Source organism: Homo sapiens, chromosome 17 (genome assembly GCF_000001405.40).
Source record: "Homo sapiens chromosome 17, GRCh38.p14 Primary Assembly".
Classification (NCBI taxonomy): Eukaryota; Metazoa; Chordata; class Mammalia; order Primates; family Hominidae; genus Homo; species Homo sapiens.
In genome coordinates, this window is record NC_000017.11 from 18,714,810 (window position 1) to 18,731,576 (window position 16,767).

Consider the following 16,767-nt stretch of genomic DNA (forward strand, 5'->3'; position numbering starts at 1 on the left):
ACGTGTACATTTTTGCTGGAAAACAATCAGAAGTCATATTTTGTTATTTAGAATGTTATAAAGTCATTACTCGAGAGTTGAGATATAATGAAATTAATAATTTTTACTGTTGTTATCAAGTACATTCTTAAATGAAACTGGCTTCTTTTTAAAATTTATTTTCAATTTTTGAGTGTGTGGAAAAGTACAATGACTGCTAGCACAGTTTGGTGCCACTGCTTTAATATGTGCTGAGGCCTCAGCAATTTTACTCACTATTGCTCCTGCATCATTGCGCAAATGACAATATGGTGAAAATAGCAAAGAATACTCAAGTGTTATCATGAAAATAGTTTTGACCTCACACATCCCTGAAAGGGTCTCAGTGAAGCATCAAGGGTCCATAGATCTTGCTTTTAGAACCACTGGGTAACAGCAGGTATCTGGAGTTTATGTAAGATGAAGGAAGGCAAGACTCTACAAATACTTTATGCTTTTAGACTTATCCCATTCATAAGCCTATTAGTTCTGCTCCATCCACCACCCCCTGCTCAAGGCAGAGATTATTAGACTGAATAAAAAACAAGACTTGCTTACATGATGCCCATAAGAGATGCATTTTAATATCAAGAGCCAGGTAGGCTGGTAAAAGGATGGGGTAAAGATAATACCAAATAGCCCAAATGTATAACAAACCCAAATGCTCATCAGCAGGGTAATGGATGAACACGCTTGGTTACAGACATAGCATGGAATGCTACTCAGCAGTGAAAACAACAGGCTACTGATACGCACCATGACATGGATGAATCTCATAGATGTTTTATTGAGTGAAATAAGGCAGACACAATAGTGCCTACTATATATTTCCATTTATATGAAGTTCCAGCACAAGCAAAACTAATTTATAATGATAAAACTCAGATTCTTCGTTGCCTGGAACCAGGCATGGTAGAAAGATTGAATAAAAGGGCATGAGGGAGCTTCCTGGGTGCTGCCAATATTCTCTATCTTGATTGGGTGGTGGTTACCAGAATGGAGTTATTTGTCAAAACTCATTCACCTGGATGCTTAAAATAGGTGAATTTTATTGCATGTAAATTATACCTCAGTAAAGTTGATTTTTTTAAAAACCTTTCTCTGAGGGTGGGTGCAGTGGCTCACGCTTATAATCCCAACACTTTGGGAGGCCAAGGCAAAAGGATCACTTGAGAGCAGGAGTTCGAGTCTAACTTGGGCAATACAGTGAGACCCTATCTCTAAAAAATAAAAGTAAATAAATACATAAATGAAAAGCTTTCTCTGGATGCAGAATGGAGAATGGATTGGCAAAAGCAATGAGTAGATGTAGGAATTCTAGTGTGGAGCCTATTGCCATAATCCAGGCGAGAGACAATGATGGCTTGGACTCTAATAATAGCAGTGGAAATATAAAGGGTAAAGGGTTTGGAGATGTGTGAGATGTAAAATGGTGATGGGATGGACATGGGTTGTGACGGAAAGAGAGGAGGTAGGGATGCTCCCTGGGTTTCTGATTTGTAATCTAGTTGGGTGCTGGTGGCAATCTCTGAGAAAAGAACCATGAGGAGGGTTAAATTTGTTGTGGTGGGATCTAGGGAGGCCTTACATTTAATTTTGGATGCATTAGATTCAAGGTGCCTGTGAGAAAGTCAAGTCTTTATACTTAGAAATTAGTTGGATATACAGGTCTGAAAGTTGAGCTGAGACATCAATTTGTGAGCCATAAACAGGTGGTAACTGAAGGCGTAGGAATGGATGAGCTCATCTAGGAAGAGAGACTAAGTTGGGAAGAAGAAGTGATCTTGAGTTGAGCTTCAAAGAGCCTCTCACCTTTTCAGGCAGAGGAAGAGGAATAAGAAAATTGGACTGAAAAGTAATGGCCACCGAGATGTGGGCAGCCAGGAGAACGTGTTATCACTTGAATGTTACCCATTCATTATCTGGTTTCCCGATACACTGTGTTGTTTTCTTTCTTTATTTTTTTATTCTTTTTATTTTTTAGATAGAGTCTTGCACTCTCGCCTAGGCTGGAGTGCAGTGGCACCATTTCGGCTCATGGCAAGCTCTGCCTCCTGGGTTCACGCCATTCTCCTGCCTCAGCCTCCCGAGTAGCTGGGACTACAGGCACCCACCACCATGCCTGGCTAATTTTTTGTGTTTTTAGTAGAGATGGGGTTTCACTGGGTTAGCCAGGATGGTCTCGATCTGACCTCGTGATCTGCCCGCCGCAGCCTCCCAAAGTGCTGGGATTACAGGTGTGAGCCACCACGCCCAGCCCCCTTTGGTTTTAAGAGCAGCTGATCTTGCCTGCTGGCTGCCAAGTCTTCTCACCTTCTCTGAATCTCAGGCTTGCTATGTAGAAATGAGACCATGTGTATGTGTGTGTGTGTGTGTGTGTGTGTGTGTGTGTGTGTGTGTGTATGAAATCTGGACTCCTTCTATGACTGCCTTTCCTGTTTGTTCTGACCCATGAAGCAGGTATGGTTCTTTCGTGTTCCTCAAGCGTATCAAATGTTACTGAGTGCTTCCTATCGCTAAGTGCTGGGCTGCACTGTCTAGCCTCTAGGAGCTTGGACTCTAATCAGGAAGCCAAGGCACATACCCTAACTCCACAGAGTGCCAAGAGGCTGGCACGGTGCAATTACTGCACCTTTGGAACCAACCCTGGGAGCGAGGTCAGTGCAGGTTCCTAAGGCAGGAAGACCTGAGCTGAGCCTTGTCCTAGATCTTTGGAGAACATTAATGCCAGGCCACGATGCTGAACCTCAGCATCAGTCCCAGAAAGTTCAGGACTGGATGCTGGCTGCAGACACAGTCTCCATGGTGAGCAAGAGCCAAGTATCTAGAGCCAAAAGTATCCACGCTCATCTGGGGAGTGGTTAACTGGCATCACTCACAGCCTGTTTGCTGGCAGCCGAAAGGTGGATGATAGGTGTATGTGGCCACTTGGGAAAGGAATTACTTGGGCCGGGCGTGGTGGCTCACGCCTGTAATCCCAGCACTTTGGCAGGCCGAGGCAGGTGGATCACCTGAGGTCAGGAGTTTGAGACCAGCCTGACCCATGGTGAAACCTTGTCTCTACTTAAAAAAAAAAAATACAAAAATTAGCCTGGCACGGTAGCAGGCGCCTATAATCCCAACTACTCAGGAGGCTGAGGCAGGAGAATCGCTTGAACTTGGGAGGTGGAGGTTGCAGTGAACCGAGATCGCGCCATTGCACTCCTGCCTGGGTGACAGAGCAAGACTCCGTCTCAAAAAAAAAAAAAAAGAATTTATTTCAGCCATTTTGGGGAATGCCCAGGACTCAGTATTATGTAACTTGTTTTTCTTATTCTCCCAGGCTGTAAGTATTTTGAGAGGGGGCAGTGTGTGTCCTATGTGACTGAGCTGGCCATATGTACTATGGTGAATTCTGAGCACCTGACCGAGGCATGCAGTCAGCGTCCAGGTGGACTCTAGTTCTTCCTTCTCTAGAAAGGCTAACCCTGTGTGCTTGGAATACAAAGGAACTGGCACAGTCTGGGATTTTTTCTTCTCTCTTCCCACTCTCCCTGTTCTTCCTATTTTTCATCTCTAACATGACCTGGCTGCCACTCTTTGTGTGCCACCTTTGCCCTGTAGCAGAAGGAACCCTTCTGTTAGCATATTTAGGTAGTCTTGCACCAGATGAGAAGCTAAATGGCTTGAATGACTTGACAAAGCCTATATGGCCAGCAAGTGGCAGGTCCCAAAATATTTCGGACTCCAAATAGTGTGCCTTTGACACATCTGTCATTGTCTTGCTGAAGCAGGCAGAGCTCTGTGTGCCCTGCCTTCCAGAACTTTCTGTGCTCATGGGCACCACAGTCCCGCTTCTGGGCAGGGCCCACCCTGACCTGAGATGTGTGTGTGGCTGACCTCTTGGGAAACCCTGAAGCCAGTGTCTGAGGCACCCCATCATTTTCAAGGAACAGGAATAACTGGAGAAACAAGTCTTTCAAAGTGGCTCCACCTTTTGAGGTAACTGGGAGTGCATTTTCTTGGGGTGACTCAGTCAGGAAAGTCCCCGATTATGTACTTAAGGAGTCCTTTTCTCTCCTTTTGTGGTAGTCTGCAAATAGCAGAGAGAAGCCCCTCACTCTCGATGCTCCCTGGGTACCTCCCTATGGCCCTGCTGCTGCCGACTGCTTCAACACATTCTTCTGTCCCTGCTGTTTAGATGTCGTGTTGTAGGAGCCTGTTGCTAAGGTGTGTTCTGCTGTGTCTTCCACCACCTTTAAACAAGCAGCTCATGTTCCTTTTCTCTCCCCTGGAATGGGTCACTGTGTAAGCCTTTTTCATAGTTCAAGATTCCAGGATTGCCCCCAAATAGGCCAGACCCACCCCCACTCCCCACTCCCAGGCATCACGTCTCAGGTATCAAGGGTGAGAGGTCACTGGGGCCCCCTCAGTTCCACTCTCAGTGACCTGGAGCCTGAGCAAACATTTCCTGCCTTCTGCAGTGTCCTGGAGAGGCGAGTCCTCTGCCCGCAGCTGCTTCCCTCCCCAGGGGGCCTGGAATTCCCCCAGTCTTCAGTGGAGAATGGAGAGACAGTTTATGCCCTCTGAGTTCTATTAGGGCATAATGACTCGCAGCTTTAAATGCAGACAGAAGCTATTAAAAGCAGTGAAAGCGATTCTTTTTTTTTCTTTTTCTTTTTGTATATTGCCCTTTTGGAAGTAGGAAAGTGACAGGGTCTTTGAGGTTTGCAAAGGTTTAAGTGCGCCTTGGCACACCTCTTGGCGGAAGGTGTTTAGTGCATCCCAGGAGGCAAGATTGAAGCTGGGGCCAAAGCAGGCAAACCTGAGGTTTTTGGGCAGGCACTTGCCTGGGCTAGGAGGGCTGGCTCTGCCTTCGAATACAGAACATGAATGGAAAGCAGCCATGGTAGCAGGAGTAATAATGATGATGATGACGATGCTGGCACCCACTGACATTTATGGAGCTCATTAATAATGTCCCTGGTACTATACAAAGTTCTTATTGACATACGTTATCTCATTAGTCCATTCTTTCCTAATCCTATGAAGCAAACACTTTACTGAGCCCCATCTCACAGGTGAAGAAATGGAAGTTTAGAGATATTAAGTTGTGAAATAAGAAACAGGCCAGGCACCGTGGCTCACGCCTGTAATCCCAACAGTTTGGGAGGCCAAGGCAGGCGGATCACAAGGTCAGGAGTTCGAGACCAGTCTGGCCAACATAGTGAAACCCTGTCTCTACTAAAAATACAAAAATTAACCGGGTGTGGCGGTGTGTATCTGTAATCCCAGCTACTCAGGAGGCTGAGGCAGGAGAATCGCATGAACCCGGGAGGTGGAGGTTGTAGTGAGCCAAGATTGCACCATTGCACTCCAGCCTGGACGACAGTGTGAGACTCCATCTCAAAAAACAAACAAAGAAGAAGAACAACAACAACAACAAAAACTTAGATTTGGTCTCTGCCCCCATTTCCTGGCACCCGACAGCTCTTAGAACCCCCAGACTCTCTGAAGTGGTAAGTGTCTGAATGCCAGTGAGATGACTGGGTGGCTGAGGGGGGTCCCGAGAGCCTCAGGATGGGGGCTAGTTGCCAAAGGAGCCAACCCTATGATGAAAGGGTTTGACTTTCAGCCCCATCTCCCTGATCTCCTCCAGGGAGGGAAGTGAGGCTGAAGGTTGAGAGGATCACCAATGGCCAGTGATGTAATCAATCATGCCTACATCATGAAGCCTCCACATAAACCCAAAAGGCATCAGGCGCGGTGATTCACACCTATAATCCCAGCATTTTGGGAGGCCGAGGTGGAGGCAGATCATTTGAGGTCAGGAGTTCAAGACCAGCCTGACCAACATGGTAAAACCCTGTCTCTACTAAAAATACAAAAAAATTAGCCAGGTGTGGTGGCACATACCTGTAGTCCCAGCTCCTCGGGAGGCTGAAGCAGGAGAATTGCTTGAACCCAGGAGACAGAGGTTGCAGTGAGTCGAGATCGCGCCACTGCACTCCAGCCTGGGAGACAGAGCGAGACTCCATCTCAAAATAAACAAAGACACAAACCCAAAAGGCTGGGCTTCCGGGAGCTTCTGGATTGCTGAAGGGGTGGAAGTCCGTGGAGGGTGTGCACCCTGCACTGGAGAGGGAAGAGAGGTGTCACTTCCCTCCCACATCCCTTGCCCCGTGCATCTCTTCCATCTCCAAGTAGGGAGTGTCAGAATTGAGTTACATCTTAGGACACCCAGCTGTTGTTGGAGAATGGCTTCATGTGGAAAAAAACCCACACGTTTTAGTTATGAAAGTGTTCTGTGTTGTGTGACTATAAGACAAAGAAAGTTTGTTTTTCCTATTCATAAGTAAATTTGGCCAAAGTCTCAACTGCTAAGTAAAAAAAATGTAGACTTCCCACTTGGCCATCTGGCTCCAACCCTACACTCCCTGTTTGGCTCTTGTGGGGTCAGCCTAGGCTCAACTCCATTGATGAACTTGGAAGCATGATTTTATCACCTGTACATTTGAAATAATAATCATGTTTACCTATGTTGACAAAAGGAGTCAAACTCTGTAACATATTTGAAGATATTCATCCTGAGCCAAATATGAGTGACCAATGGTCTGTGACACAGCTCTCAGGAGACCCTGAGAACATGTGCCCAAGGTGGTTGGGGTACAGCCTAGTATACATTTTAGGGAGACATGAGACATCAATCAAATACATGTAAGATGTAATTTGGTTTGGTCTGGAAAGGTGGGACAACTGGAAACCAGGGCTTCCAGGTCATAGGTAGATTCAAAGATTTTCTGATTGGCAGTTGGTTGAAAGAGTCAAGTTATTGTCTAAAGACTTAGGAATGTCTGGGTTAAGATAAGAGGTGGTGGAAACCAAGGTTTTATCATGTGGGTAAAGCCTCCAGGGAGGAGGTTTTGGAGAGAACAGATTGTAAATGTTTCTAATCAGACTGAAAGAGTCTGCTGTATCAGTAATTCCAAAAGGGAGGAAGTTATAATGAGCCATGTCTGACCTCCCTTCCCATCATGGCCTGAACTGGTTTTTCAGGTTAACTTTGGAATGCCCTTTGCTGAGAGGAGGGATCCATTCAGATTGTTGGGGGGCTTAGGATTTTATTTCTGGTTTACAGCTAGTATGGGTATGGCAAGGATGGTGTGGGGTAATCCACAAAATGCTTGAAATGGTGAGCAGCACGGCATCCGTGCTCACTGTATTTTCGCTGACTCATGCTGACTGCAGCCCCAGGAGGGCACGGGCTCACCGCCAACCCTTCGTGCCTCCCGGCTGGTTTCTGAGATCAGCCACAGAAGTTAAACTTCTTTCCAGGGAAGAAGGGCGGGGATGTCAGGGCTGGAGAGTGCCCGTGTCCTTCTGTGTGCATTGGGCTCCTTCCTCCTTAATTCTCTGCTTTCCACTTTTAGGCTGAACTCCAGTGCACCCAGTTAGACTTGGAGCGGAAACTCAAGTTGAATGAAAATGCCATCTCCAGGCTCCAGGCTAACCAAAAGTCTGTTCTGGTAAGACCAGCCTGGGTCAGCCAGGCCTGTGAGGGTGTGGGACGTGGTACTGCATGCCTAGCCTCCATTCCTGTAGGTTCCTTGGGGTTTCTCCACAAATGAGAATTGTAGGTACAGTTGACTACACCGTGGGGTAGCCTCACCTTGATGTCAGGATTTGTTATGAAATTAGTTTAAGTTTTAAACCTGGCAAGTGATTTGCTTTTTAATAATATAAATTAGAACCAAGACTAATCCTGTAATAACAACATTCTTATTTCTACATTTGCTTATGCTGTCTTGACAGGGTGTATGTGTGTGGGGGGCTGGGAGTTTAGTCAGAGGTCCAAAAACTATACGTAATCTTGGCTTCTTCCATTATAAGAGGGCGTTCTGCATGTGAGTCTCACCAGTCCTATGACCTGGCAGCTGGAAAAAAGGAGTTGAGAACTCAGGATTAGTGATGGTATTTGAGAAGGCCATGGTGTGCCAGGCTAAGTAGGCAGTAAATGGTCTCCAAGTGGATTCTGAGGAGTTCTACAAATGCCTCTCGTCAGTGGCAAGCCAGTAACCACCACTCAGAAGAGAATGCAAAACAGGCCGGGCACAGTGGCTCACACCTGTAATCCCAACACTTTGAGAGGCTGAAGTGGGTGGATCACTTGAGGTCAGGAGTTTGAGACCAGTCTGGCCAACACGGTGAAACCCCGACTCTACTAAAAAATACAAAAATTAGCCAGGCATGGTGGTGCACACCTGTAGTCCCAGTTACTCAGGAGGCTGAGGCAGGAGAATTGCTTGAACTCAGGAGGTGGAGGCTGCAGTGAGCTGAGTTTGCACCATTGTACTCCACCCTGGGTAACAGAGTAAGACTCTGTTTCAAAAAAAGAGAGAATGCAAAACACCTACCCTATGGAAGTGAATCAGCATTGTCATCTTTATATCCTGAGAATAAATGATTCCATCCATCATCCATCCATCCATTCATCTACCCCTAATGCATGTATTCATTTCAACTTAATTTTCACCTCCTGGGTGTTTACAACCAACTAGCTACTGAAGGATGAAACACCTCTTTCTTACCCACAATATCTTATTAAAGGAAGAAAGAGAATTATCCCTTTAAAGTCTTATAAACCTTCAGAGATAATGGATTTCCAGGCTCAAGATAACCTGTAGAACCACATGGAGGGTCTTGTGTTTCCCAGCTCTTTAATTTTCAGACACTTTGATCCCTCCTCAGTTCTCATAAGTACATGATGACCAGGGGAGTTGGTTATTACAATAGCTACCATGCACAAGGGGCATGAAGACATGGAGAGATGACAATACTTGTCTAGGGCCATCTAGATTGGTGGAATGTGAGAACCTAGAGTTGTTGCTCCCTTGACCTAAGAATGACTCAGTATATTGATAGGCATGTACACCACCCTCAAATCTTTAAACCATTACCTGCAGGCTCCTTGAATGTATTGAGGCCTCTCCTCTCTGTACTATTTCTGCTTGTCATCATTTTCGTGGTAAGTAATGCCCTTTGCACATTACATTTACATGCAAGAAAGAAGTGTTTCTCAATGGGAGGGTTTAGGAATGAGGGCCAGGCCACAGCAGAAGTCAACCTCAATCCACCAATATCATCTGACACCTCCCTTCCACTATCCTTTCTCAGGATGGCCTCAGTTGGGGCCGGGGGTGAGGATTTGGATCCGGAGTTTGTCTTTAGTCTCATGCCTCTTAGCCTCATGCTATCGTGCTTCTATGAGGAACTTACAGGTCATAATTGTAGACAGGATTCTGCTCCTTTCCCACAACACCCTCATGCTGGTTCCCATGCTGTGTCCTGCTCCTGCTTTCTGGAGGTCATCGGGAGCGGGCACTGCAGGCAGGGAGCACTCTGTGGCCTCTGTGACTCCTAGAGCCTGGCTACCTGGAGCCTGAGTGGGCATGAAGGGTGAGTAAGCCGGGGAACTAGGACACGTTAGCTAATGCAGAGCCTGGATCAAACACCACCACCACCATTTGCCCCCGCTCCCAAATGGTTATAAGCAAAACTCTCCTGTCTTCTGAGGTAGATTTCTTCATCATTACTTCTTTGCCATATGGAAATGTAATTTGACTTTTAGATTTAAATCTAGTAATGATTAATATATCAGAATTTACAGTGTTTGCAATGTCAAGGAGGCAACACCTGTAAACAGTTGGTTCAGGAATTGCTGGGAGTCTTGGCCTCTTTCCCTCTTGGTCGCCTGCTCAGCAGCAGCCTGTGTATTTATAGTCCATTATGGGCATAGGATGTTACCCTAACTGGTGCCCACAGTGAACAAGGGGCTAAGCCCTGTCTCTCGTCTGGTCTTAGGAGGGCTTCTGTTTAATGGGCTGAACTTAAAGGTCCTTCCCTGCAACCCCCACACAGCCACAGCCCATGGGCTGAAAGCTCAGCTGAACTCCCATTGTACCTCCCCAGCTCATCCTAGTGAATGTGCCAGGGCCCAGAGGGAGAGGTCAGGCTGTGCCAGCTCAGTGCTATACTGCAGGCACATGGATCCCCAACCCTGGGCCCTATTTTGAGGCAGTGTGGAGTGGTGGTCAAAGGGCTGGACTCCAGAGACAGACAGTCTTGGTTCAAACCTTGCTGTGTGATCTTGGGCAAATCAGTCCATTTATCACTGTCTCAGTTTCCTTATCTAAGAAATGGAGACCCTAATAGTACCTACCTTTTAGGGTTGCTAGGAGAAAAGTGCCTGGCACATAGTAAGAACTTACTACATGTTGGTTGTTTTTATGATTATTGTTATATAATTAGAAGAGTGACCAGGCTAGCAGCAGAGAGTCCTCATTCTCAGGAGAGTGGGAAGAGGGAGAGAGGTGAAGTGTCAGAGGGCTGCAGAGCCAATACCTGGCAGAGCCCCAGGCAGCAGGTTTGCCACTTGGGGGGCCTGGGTGGGGCCCAGGTAGCTTTCCTGGTTCTCAGGTCTTCATTTCAGACAGTGCTCTGAGCCTCCCATCCACAGTCCAGAGCCCATTCTCTGCCTGCCTCCTTCTCTACTATTGTCGCCACCTGCAGTCTTTCTGAGCAGCTGGTTAAGGTGCTACTATTCCTCCTCCCAAGGGTGAGGGCCAGCCCTGAACAAAAGGGCTCCGGAGGGAGCCACAAAACCAGATAGCCTCAGGTTTCCCAAATCGCCTCTCCTGCTGCCCTGGCTTCTCAACACCGTCACCTGTCTAAAAGCTTTTCTTGGTGTGGGCTGGAAGAATTTGGATAAAGTCTACCATCCCCGCTCTTCCTTAATCCTATTACCACAGCTTCTTTGCTCCCAGCTCTGTCCAGCTACCTAACCTCAAGGAAGCCAACAGGCGATGGAAAAGTTGGCATAAAAATGAGAATGTAGGCTGGACGTAATCCCACCTGTAATAACACCTGTAATCCCAGCACTTTGGGAGGCCAAGGACGGCAGATTGCTTGAGGCCAGGAGTTTGAGACCAGCCTGGGCAACGTAGTAAGCTCCTATCTCTACAAAAAATATAAAAATTAGTTGGGCATGAAGGCATGCACCTGTGGTTTCTGCTACTTCGGAGGCTGAGGTGGAAGATCGTTTGAGCCTGGGATGTCAAAGCTGCAGTGAGCCAAGATTGTGTCACTCCAACCTGGCAACAGAGGAGACCTTGTCTCAAAAAAAAAAAAAAAAAAAAAAAAAGAGAGAGAGAGAATGTAGGGGGATTGTCTGTGTCTTCCCACCATCCCCCTCCAGTAGGGATACCCCTTGCTTTCTTTCCCCTGCTTATTCTTCCCTTTGCCACCAGATTGAAGACTGATCAGAGACCATTCTCGTGGAGTGAATTGCTGAGCCCTGGCCTAAGCCAGGGCCTGAGCCAGGCAGAAGACCTATCTGGTGTCATCATTTTTTCTTCCCATCTCCCTCCAAACCTCTAGGTTCCCACTAAGCCTGGGCCCAGAATCCCATCCTTTCTGAGTCCTTTCCTTACTGTGCTCCCCTTTTTGATCTGGGTCTCATTCTCCCTCCCTCTCTCCCTCTCTCCTTCCTTGCCAGGGATGGGAGGTGCCCCTGAAGCCTCTGCCCAAGGATATCTGCTGTTTGACTCACTTTGGAGCCCTGATGTTCAGAGCTTGCCCTTAACATTGGGAGGAGAAAGAGAAAACAGCACCTGGAGGGGTGCTCAGAAAGTCTCAGATGGGATAGGGCTGGAGTGCAGTGGCGCAATCTCAGCTCACTGCAAGCTCTGCCTCCTAGGTTCATGCCATTCTCCCGCCTCAGCCTCCCGAGTAGCTGGGACTACAGGCGCCCGCCACCACACCCGGCTAATTTTTCTATTTTTAGTAGAGACAGGGTTTCACCATGTTAGGCAGGATGGTCTCGATCTCCTGACCTCATGATCTGCCCACCTCAGCCTCCCAAAGTGCTGAGATTACAGGCATGAGCCACCACGCCCAGCTGTCTACACCAATTCTTAAGAATACCAGAGAAGAGGAAACCTTCAGAGCTTGGAAAGATGTTGTAAACATGATATTGATTGAAGGCATTCATAGAGGATGCTTACCATGCAAAAGAGTCCACATGCATGTCCCCCATCATTCAAAACCTTAATGTTTCTCACATGGGTTTTCTTTTATATTTTATTTGAATGTCACATTCTGTTCTGCATATACATGCTTGTCCTGGAATTGCTTGGGTGCCATGGTCATCTGCACCCTAAACATTTTATGGGGATTCTGTATGTGGTAGAGACAGTATCATCTTAGACATGCATTTGGCTCTGATGGACTCAGTGGTCAGTTTAACCGGGCATAATGAAATGCTAAGAAAGCTAATTCATGCTGATTATACAAAAAAAAAAAAAAGCCAAATTCTTTACCTCTTGAAATATGACTATCAAGTAGACTGAATACACGCATTGCTCTGGTAGGAAAATCAGTTTCGGAAACTTGACTAACAATCCCAGAGTGTCAGAGTTGTGAGGGATCTCGGAGGTCATAGAGGAATTCACTGTCTCATCAAATGGATGAGGAGACCAAGTTAATACGTAAATCCTTTTTCCAGGAACCTGGAATTCACATGAGAATAAAGGATTCCTTTTACAATAGGGAACTGCTCCCTAATATATGTGTTTCTGACATTTCTGTATGTTGAGCTTCTATCAAGTTGGATGCCTCACTAAGAAATGTTTGGCTGCCTTCCACCCCCACCCCCCGCCAGGTGTCGGTGTCAGAGGTCAAAGCAGTGGCTGAAATGCAGTTTGGGGAACTCCTTGCTGCTGTGAGGAAGGCCCAGGCCAATGTGATGCTCTTCTTAGAGGAGAAGGAGCAAGCTGCGCTGAGCCAGGCCAACGGTATCAAGGCCCACCTGGAGTACAGGAGTGCCGAGATGGAGAAGAGTAAGCAGGAGCTGGAGACGATGGCGGCCATCAGCAACACTGTCCAGTTCTTGGAGGTATGGGGGTTGTGGGGGCAGAAGCATCCCACAGCTGCCCCATGAAGCACCCTCTCTTTGCTAGGCCCATGGCCATCTGTGAATGGAACTGTTTTTTGTTAAATGGTGTGCACAGGGAGCAGTGGGAACAGAGAGAAGCAGATTCTTCATTCAGCAGAGTATAGGAGGGGTAGGGAGGGAGAACTGCTCAGAGCAGGGAAGCTTGAAGCAGGTCCCGGAAGATGAGTCAGGTTCAACGTGCAGTATGTTCCAGGTAGAGGGAACAACATATGCAAAGGCAGAGAGGTTTGAGGAAGCACAGCTGATTTGGGGAGCCAAGGTACTTTAATAGGGGTGGAGCCTGGGGTACTGGGTGCAGAGTGATGAGACTGGCACGGCCAGGCAGGTGTATGGCTGGGAAGGGTTTCAGATGGGAGAATGATGGAGTCAGTGAGTATGTTTTATAAACCGCTCCAGCAGTCCACTGCATGGAGGTTTGCTTGGTAGGGATGAGACTGGAGCCTGCTGCTTTTCAGAGAGGGCTGTGGCTGGAGTAATTGAGGAGGGCTCAGAAGAGCAAATGCTTTTCATTACAATGTATCATTAGACATCAAACCGTAAGCCATTGGAACGAGATCTAAAGAACATGTAACCTTTCGAGGAAGGAACACTAGGTTGGGGGTAAGCTGCAACATCCTGAATCTGTCAGAAAACAGCTCTGTTAACAGCTCTTCACATCCCTGAGTCTCAAATTTCTCATTTATCAACAAGCCCACTGGAGTAAATAATTCAGAAGGCTCCATCCAAGCTCTGATATTCTGAAATACAATTTTTTCTTGCTTGCATTTTTGAAAAAATTCTCTGCTAGTTACAAAAAACAAATGTTTATTGTGAAAAACTTGGAAAGTACAAAAAAAGAAGAAAAAAAATCCATAATCCTTACACAAGTACAACATAGTTAACTTTTGAATGAGTAAAAGAGAAAGACAGACAAAAACACCAACAAAGCGTTTGTCAGTTTCTTTGCTTTTCAATATCAAAACACAAAGAAAATATGAATAACCATTTAATAACCATTTGGCTTCCCGCCTCACAAGTTTCCCTTAAGATCTACCCAAAGAGTATATAAATTATTTCTCTTTTCTCGTTTTGTAACTTTATTTATTTGTGTGTGTGTGTGTGTTGTTTTTTGAGATGGAGTCTTGCTCTGTCACCCAGGCTGGAGTGCAGTGGCACGATCTCGGCTCACTGCAACCTCCGCCTCCCAGATTCAAGCAATTCTCTGCCTCAGCCTCCCAAGTAGCTGGGATTACAGGCGCCCGCCACCACACCTGGCTAATTTTTATTTTTATTTGTTTTTTTTTTTTTTTTTGAGACTGAGTTTCACTCTTGTTGCCCAGGCTGGAGTGCAATGGCACGATCTCTGCTCACTGCAAGCTCCACCTCCCGGGTTCAAGCGATTCTCCTGCCTCAGCCTCCTGAGCAGCTGGGATTACAAGCATGGGCCACCATGCCCAGCTAATTTTTTGTATTTTTAGTAGAGACGGGGTTTCTCCGTGTTGGTCAGGATGGTCTTGAACTCCCAACCTTAGGTGATCTGCCCGCCTCGGCCTCCCAAAGTGTTGGGATTACAGGCGTGAGCCACCACGCCCGGCCAATTTTTTTTGTTTTTTCGAGACGGAGTCTTGCTCTTTCCCCCCAAGGCCGGAGTGCAATGGCACGATCTCGGCTCACTGCAAGCTCCGCCTCCTGGGTTCATGCCATTCTCCCGCCTCAGCGTCCCGAGTAGCTGGGACTACAGGCGCCCGCCACCACGCCCGGCTAATTTTTTGTATTTTTAGTAGAGACGGGGTTTCACCGTGTTAGCCAGAATGGTCTCGATCTCCTGACCTCGTGATCCACCCGCCTCGGCCCCACAAAGTGCTGGGATTACAGGCGTGAGCCACCGCGCCTGGCCAAATTTTTTTTATTTTTAGTAGAGATGGGGTTTCACCGTCTTGGCCAGGCTGGTCTCGAACTCCTGACCTTGTGATCCACCCACCTCGGCCCCCCAAAGTGCTGGGATTGCAGGCATGAGCCACTGCACCCAGCCTGTAAGTTTATTTTTAACATAAAAGACTTTAATACATATAAAATAAATTCTAGTGTATGATAACTATTTATTGGCTGGGCACGGTGGCTCACACCTGTAATCCCAGCACTTTGGGAGGCCATGGCCGGCAGATCATGAGGTCAGGAGTTTGAGACCAGCCTGACCAACATGGTGAAACCCTGTCTCTACTAAAAATAAAAAAAATTTGCCAGGCATGGTGGCGCACACCTGTAGTCCCAGCCACTTGGGAGGCTGAGGCAGGAGAATCGCTTGAACCTAGCAGGCAAGAGGTTGCAGTGAGCCAAGATCGCGCCATTGCACTCCAGCCTGGGTGACAAAGCAAGACTATGTCTCAAAAAAAAAAAAAAAAAAAAGATATTTATTTATTTTGGCAAAAGATAACATTTCCCCCCAAATTTTTGGTTAGGCATTCAAAACAAGATTTATTGAATAACTTATCCAAATAACTTATCCTTTCTCCCACTGATTTAAAATGCTACTTTTGTCTTGTACAGTATATAGCATTAAAATGTTGAATTACCCTTTTCTCTATCAATTCTCTGGTTTTGATTTCCATGGCTCTATCTAATCATTTTCATACAACTGTTTTCATTGCTATGTTTTCTGCTGTACCTGTTCTGCTCTTTAATGCTTCAGTTGCAGCTGAAGTTTGATACTGTGTTATATCTGAAAGCATCTTTCCTGATCACACGTTGTTTCAAAACTTACATGAAACTATGTGATTATCAGTGTGAAAACACTTTCCAAATACTAAAGCAAGGTACAAGAATTACAGAAATTTATGCATTGGATGAAACTGACAAGGAAGAGGCAGCACTCCTGCCTGAGAGCTCCTCCATTTTCCACCATGGCTTGTGTTTAAATTGTCAAAAAACAAGTACTGACGGCATGAACAAAGCAAGAATGTTCTTTATTTTTTGGTCCCCAGTCTGGACTGTGTATTGGAGCTGTTCATGGCCATCTAGTACATCTTGATTTTTAAAATCCCACGTTCTCACTTCTTTTTTTTAAAATCCCACTTATTCTGAGGGTCTAGCAGCTAGAGAAGTGCTATCTATTTTGTTAGACCCTGAGCTTGACACTTTACATGTACTTTCTTTGTGAAGGACACATTACCGTCAGCCCATTTTACAGATGCAAAAAGTGACTTAATGAGGAGAGAAGCCCGAGTTTAGAAATACAGAAACCACAGCAAGTTCTGCTGTTTCCTTTTCTGCAGGAGTACTGCAAGTTTAAGAACACTGAAGACATCACCTTCCCTAGTGTTTACATAGGGCTGAAGGATAAACTCTCGGGCATCCGCAAAGTTATCACGGAATCCACTGTACACTTAATCCAGTTGCTGGAGAACTATAAGAAAAAGCTCCAGGAGTTTTCCAAGGAAGGTGAGACACATTCTGGGCCATGGACTATAGTGAGTGTGTCTCTAGCAGTAGATGATAGGAAGGTGAGAGAGAGTCAGGGAAGGGAGGATGAAATCAGGGGAATGTCTCATTTTCTTTTTTTCTTTTTTTTCTTTTTTTTGTGAGACAGAGTCTTGCTCTGTCACCCAGGCTGGAGTGCAATGGCGCAATCTCAGCTCACTGCAACCTCTGCCTCCCGGGTTCAAGAGATTCTTCTTCCTCAGCCTCCCTAGTAGCTGAGATTACAGGCACCTGGCTAATTTTTGTATTTTTAGTAGAGACGGGGTTTCACCATGTTGGTCAGGCTGGTCTCGAACTCCTGA

General features: G+C 46.4%; 1 pseudogene across 8 annotated transcripts in view, besides 3 other annotated features; it reads left to right on the forward strand.

Moving 5' to 3' along the window:
• TRIM16L (tripartite motif containing 16 like (pseudogene)) overlaps nucleotides 1-16,767 on the forward strand; it is a 38,115-nt pseudogene that overhangs the window by 16,812 nt on the left and 4,536 nt on the right. For 4 of the 8 annotated variants that reach the window (NR_172637.1, NR_172634.1, NR_172633.1 and 1 more), the window contains 3 exons: nucleotides 7,428-7,523; nucleotides 12,716-12,949; nucleotides 16,261-16,426. The product of NR_172637.1 is annotated as a tripartite motif containing 16 like (pseudogene), transcript variant 3 (transcript). Of the gene's footprint in view, nucleotides 1-7,311; nucleotides 7,524-8,960; nucleotides 9,023-12,715; nucleotides 12,950-16,260; nucleotides 16,427-16,767 lie in introns of those variants that run through there. The other 4 variants (NR_172638.1, NR_172639.1, NR_172641.1 and 1 more) reach the window with 4 other exon arrangements.
• Nucleotides 3,471-4,341: an enhancer, noted in NCBI's record as "OCT4-NANOG-H3K27ac hESC enhancer chr17:18621593-18622463 (GRCh37/hg19 assembly coordinates)". NCBI's record gives its function as "activates a minimal SCP1, AML or CMV promoter by ChIP-STARR-seq in naive H9 embryonic stem cells {active_cell/tissue: H9 hESC(naive)}" and the evidence as "EXISTENCE:reporter gene assay evidence [ECO:0000049][PMID:30033119]".
• Nucleotides 4,342-5,212: an enhancer, noted in NCBI's record as "OCT4-NANOG-H3K27ac hESC enhancer chr17:18622464-18623334 (GRCh37/hg19 assembly coordinates)". NCBI's record gives its function as "activates a minimal SCP1, AML or CMV promoter by ChIP-STARR-seq in naive H9 embryonic stem cells {active_cell/tissue: H9 hESC(naive)}" and the evidence as "EXISTENCE:reporter gene assay evidence [ECO:0000049][PMID:30033119]".
• Nucleotides 6,776-7,340: an enhancer, noted in NCBI's record as "H3K27ac-H3K4me1 hESC enhancer chr17:18624898-18625462 (GRCh37/hg19 assembly coordinates)". NCBI's record gives its function as "activates a minimal SCP1, AML or CMV promoter by ChIP-STARR-seq in primed H9 embryonic stem cells {active_cell/tissue: H9 hESC(primed)}" and the evidence as "EXISTENCE:reporter gene assay evidence [ECO:0000049][PMID:30033119]".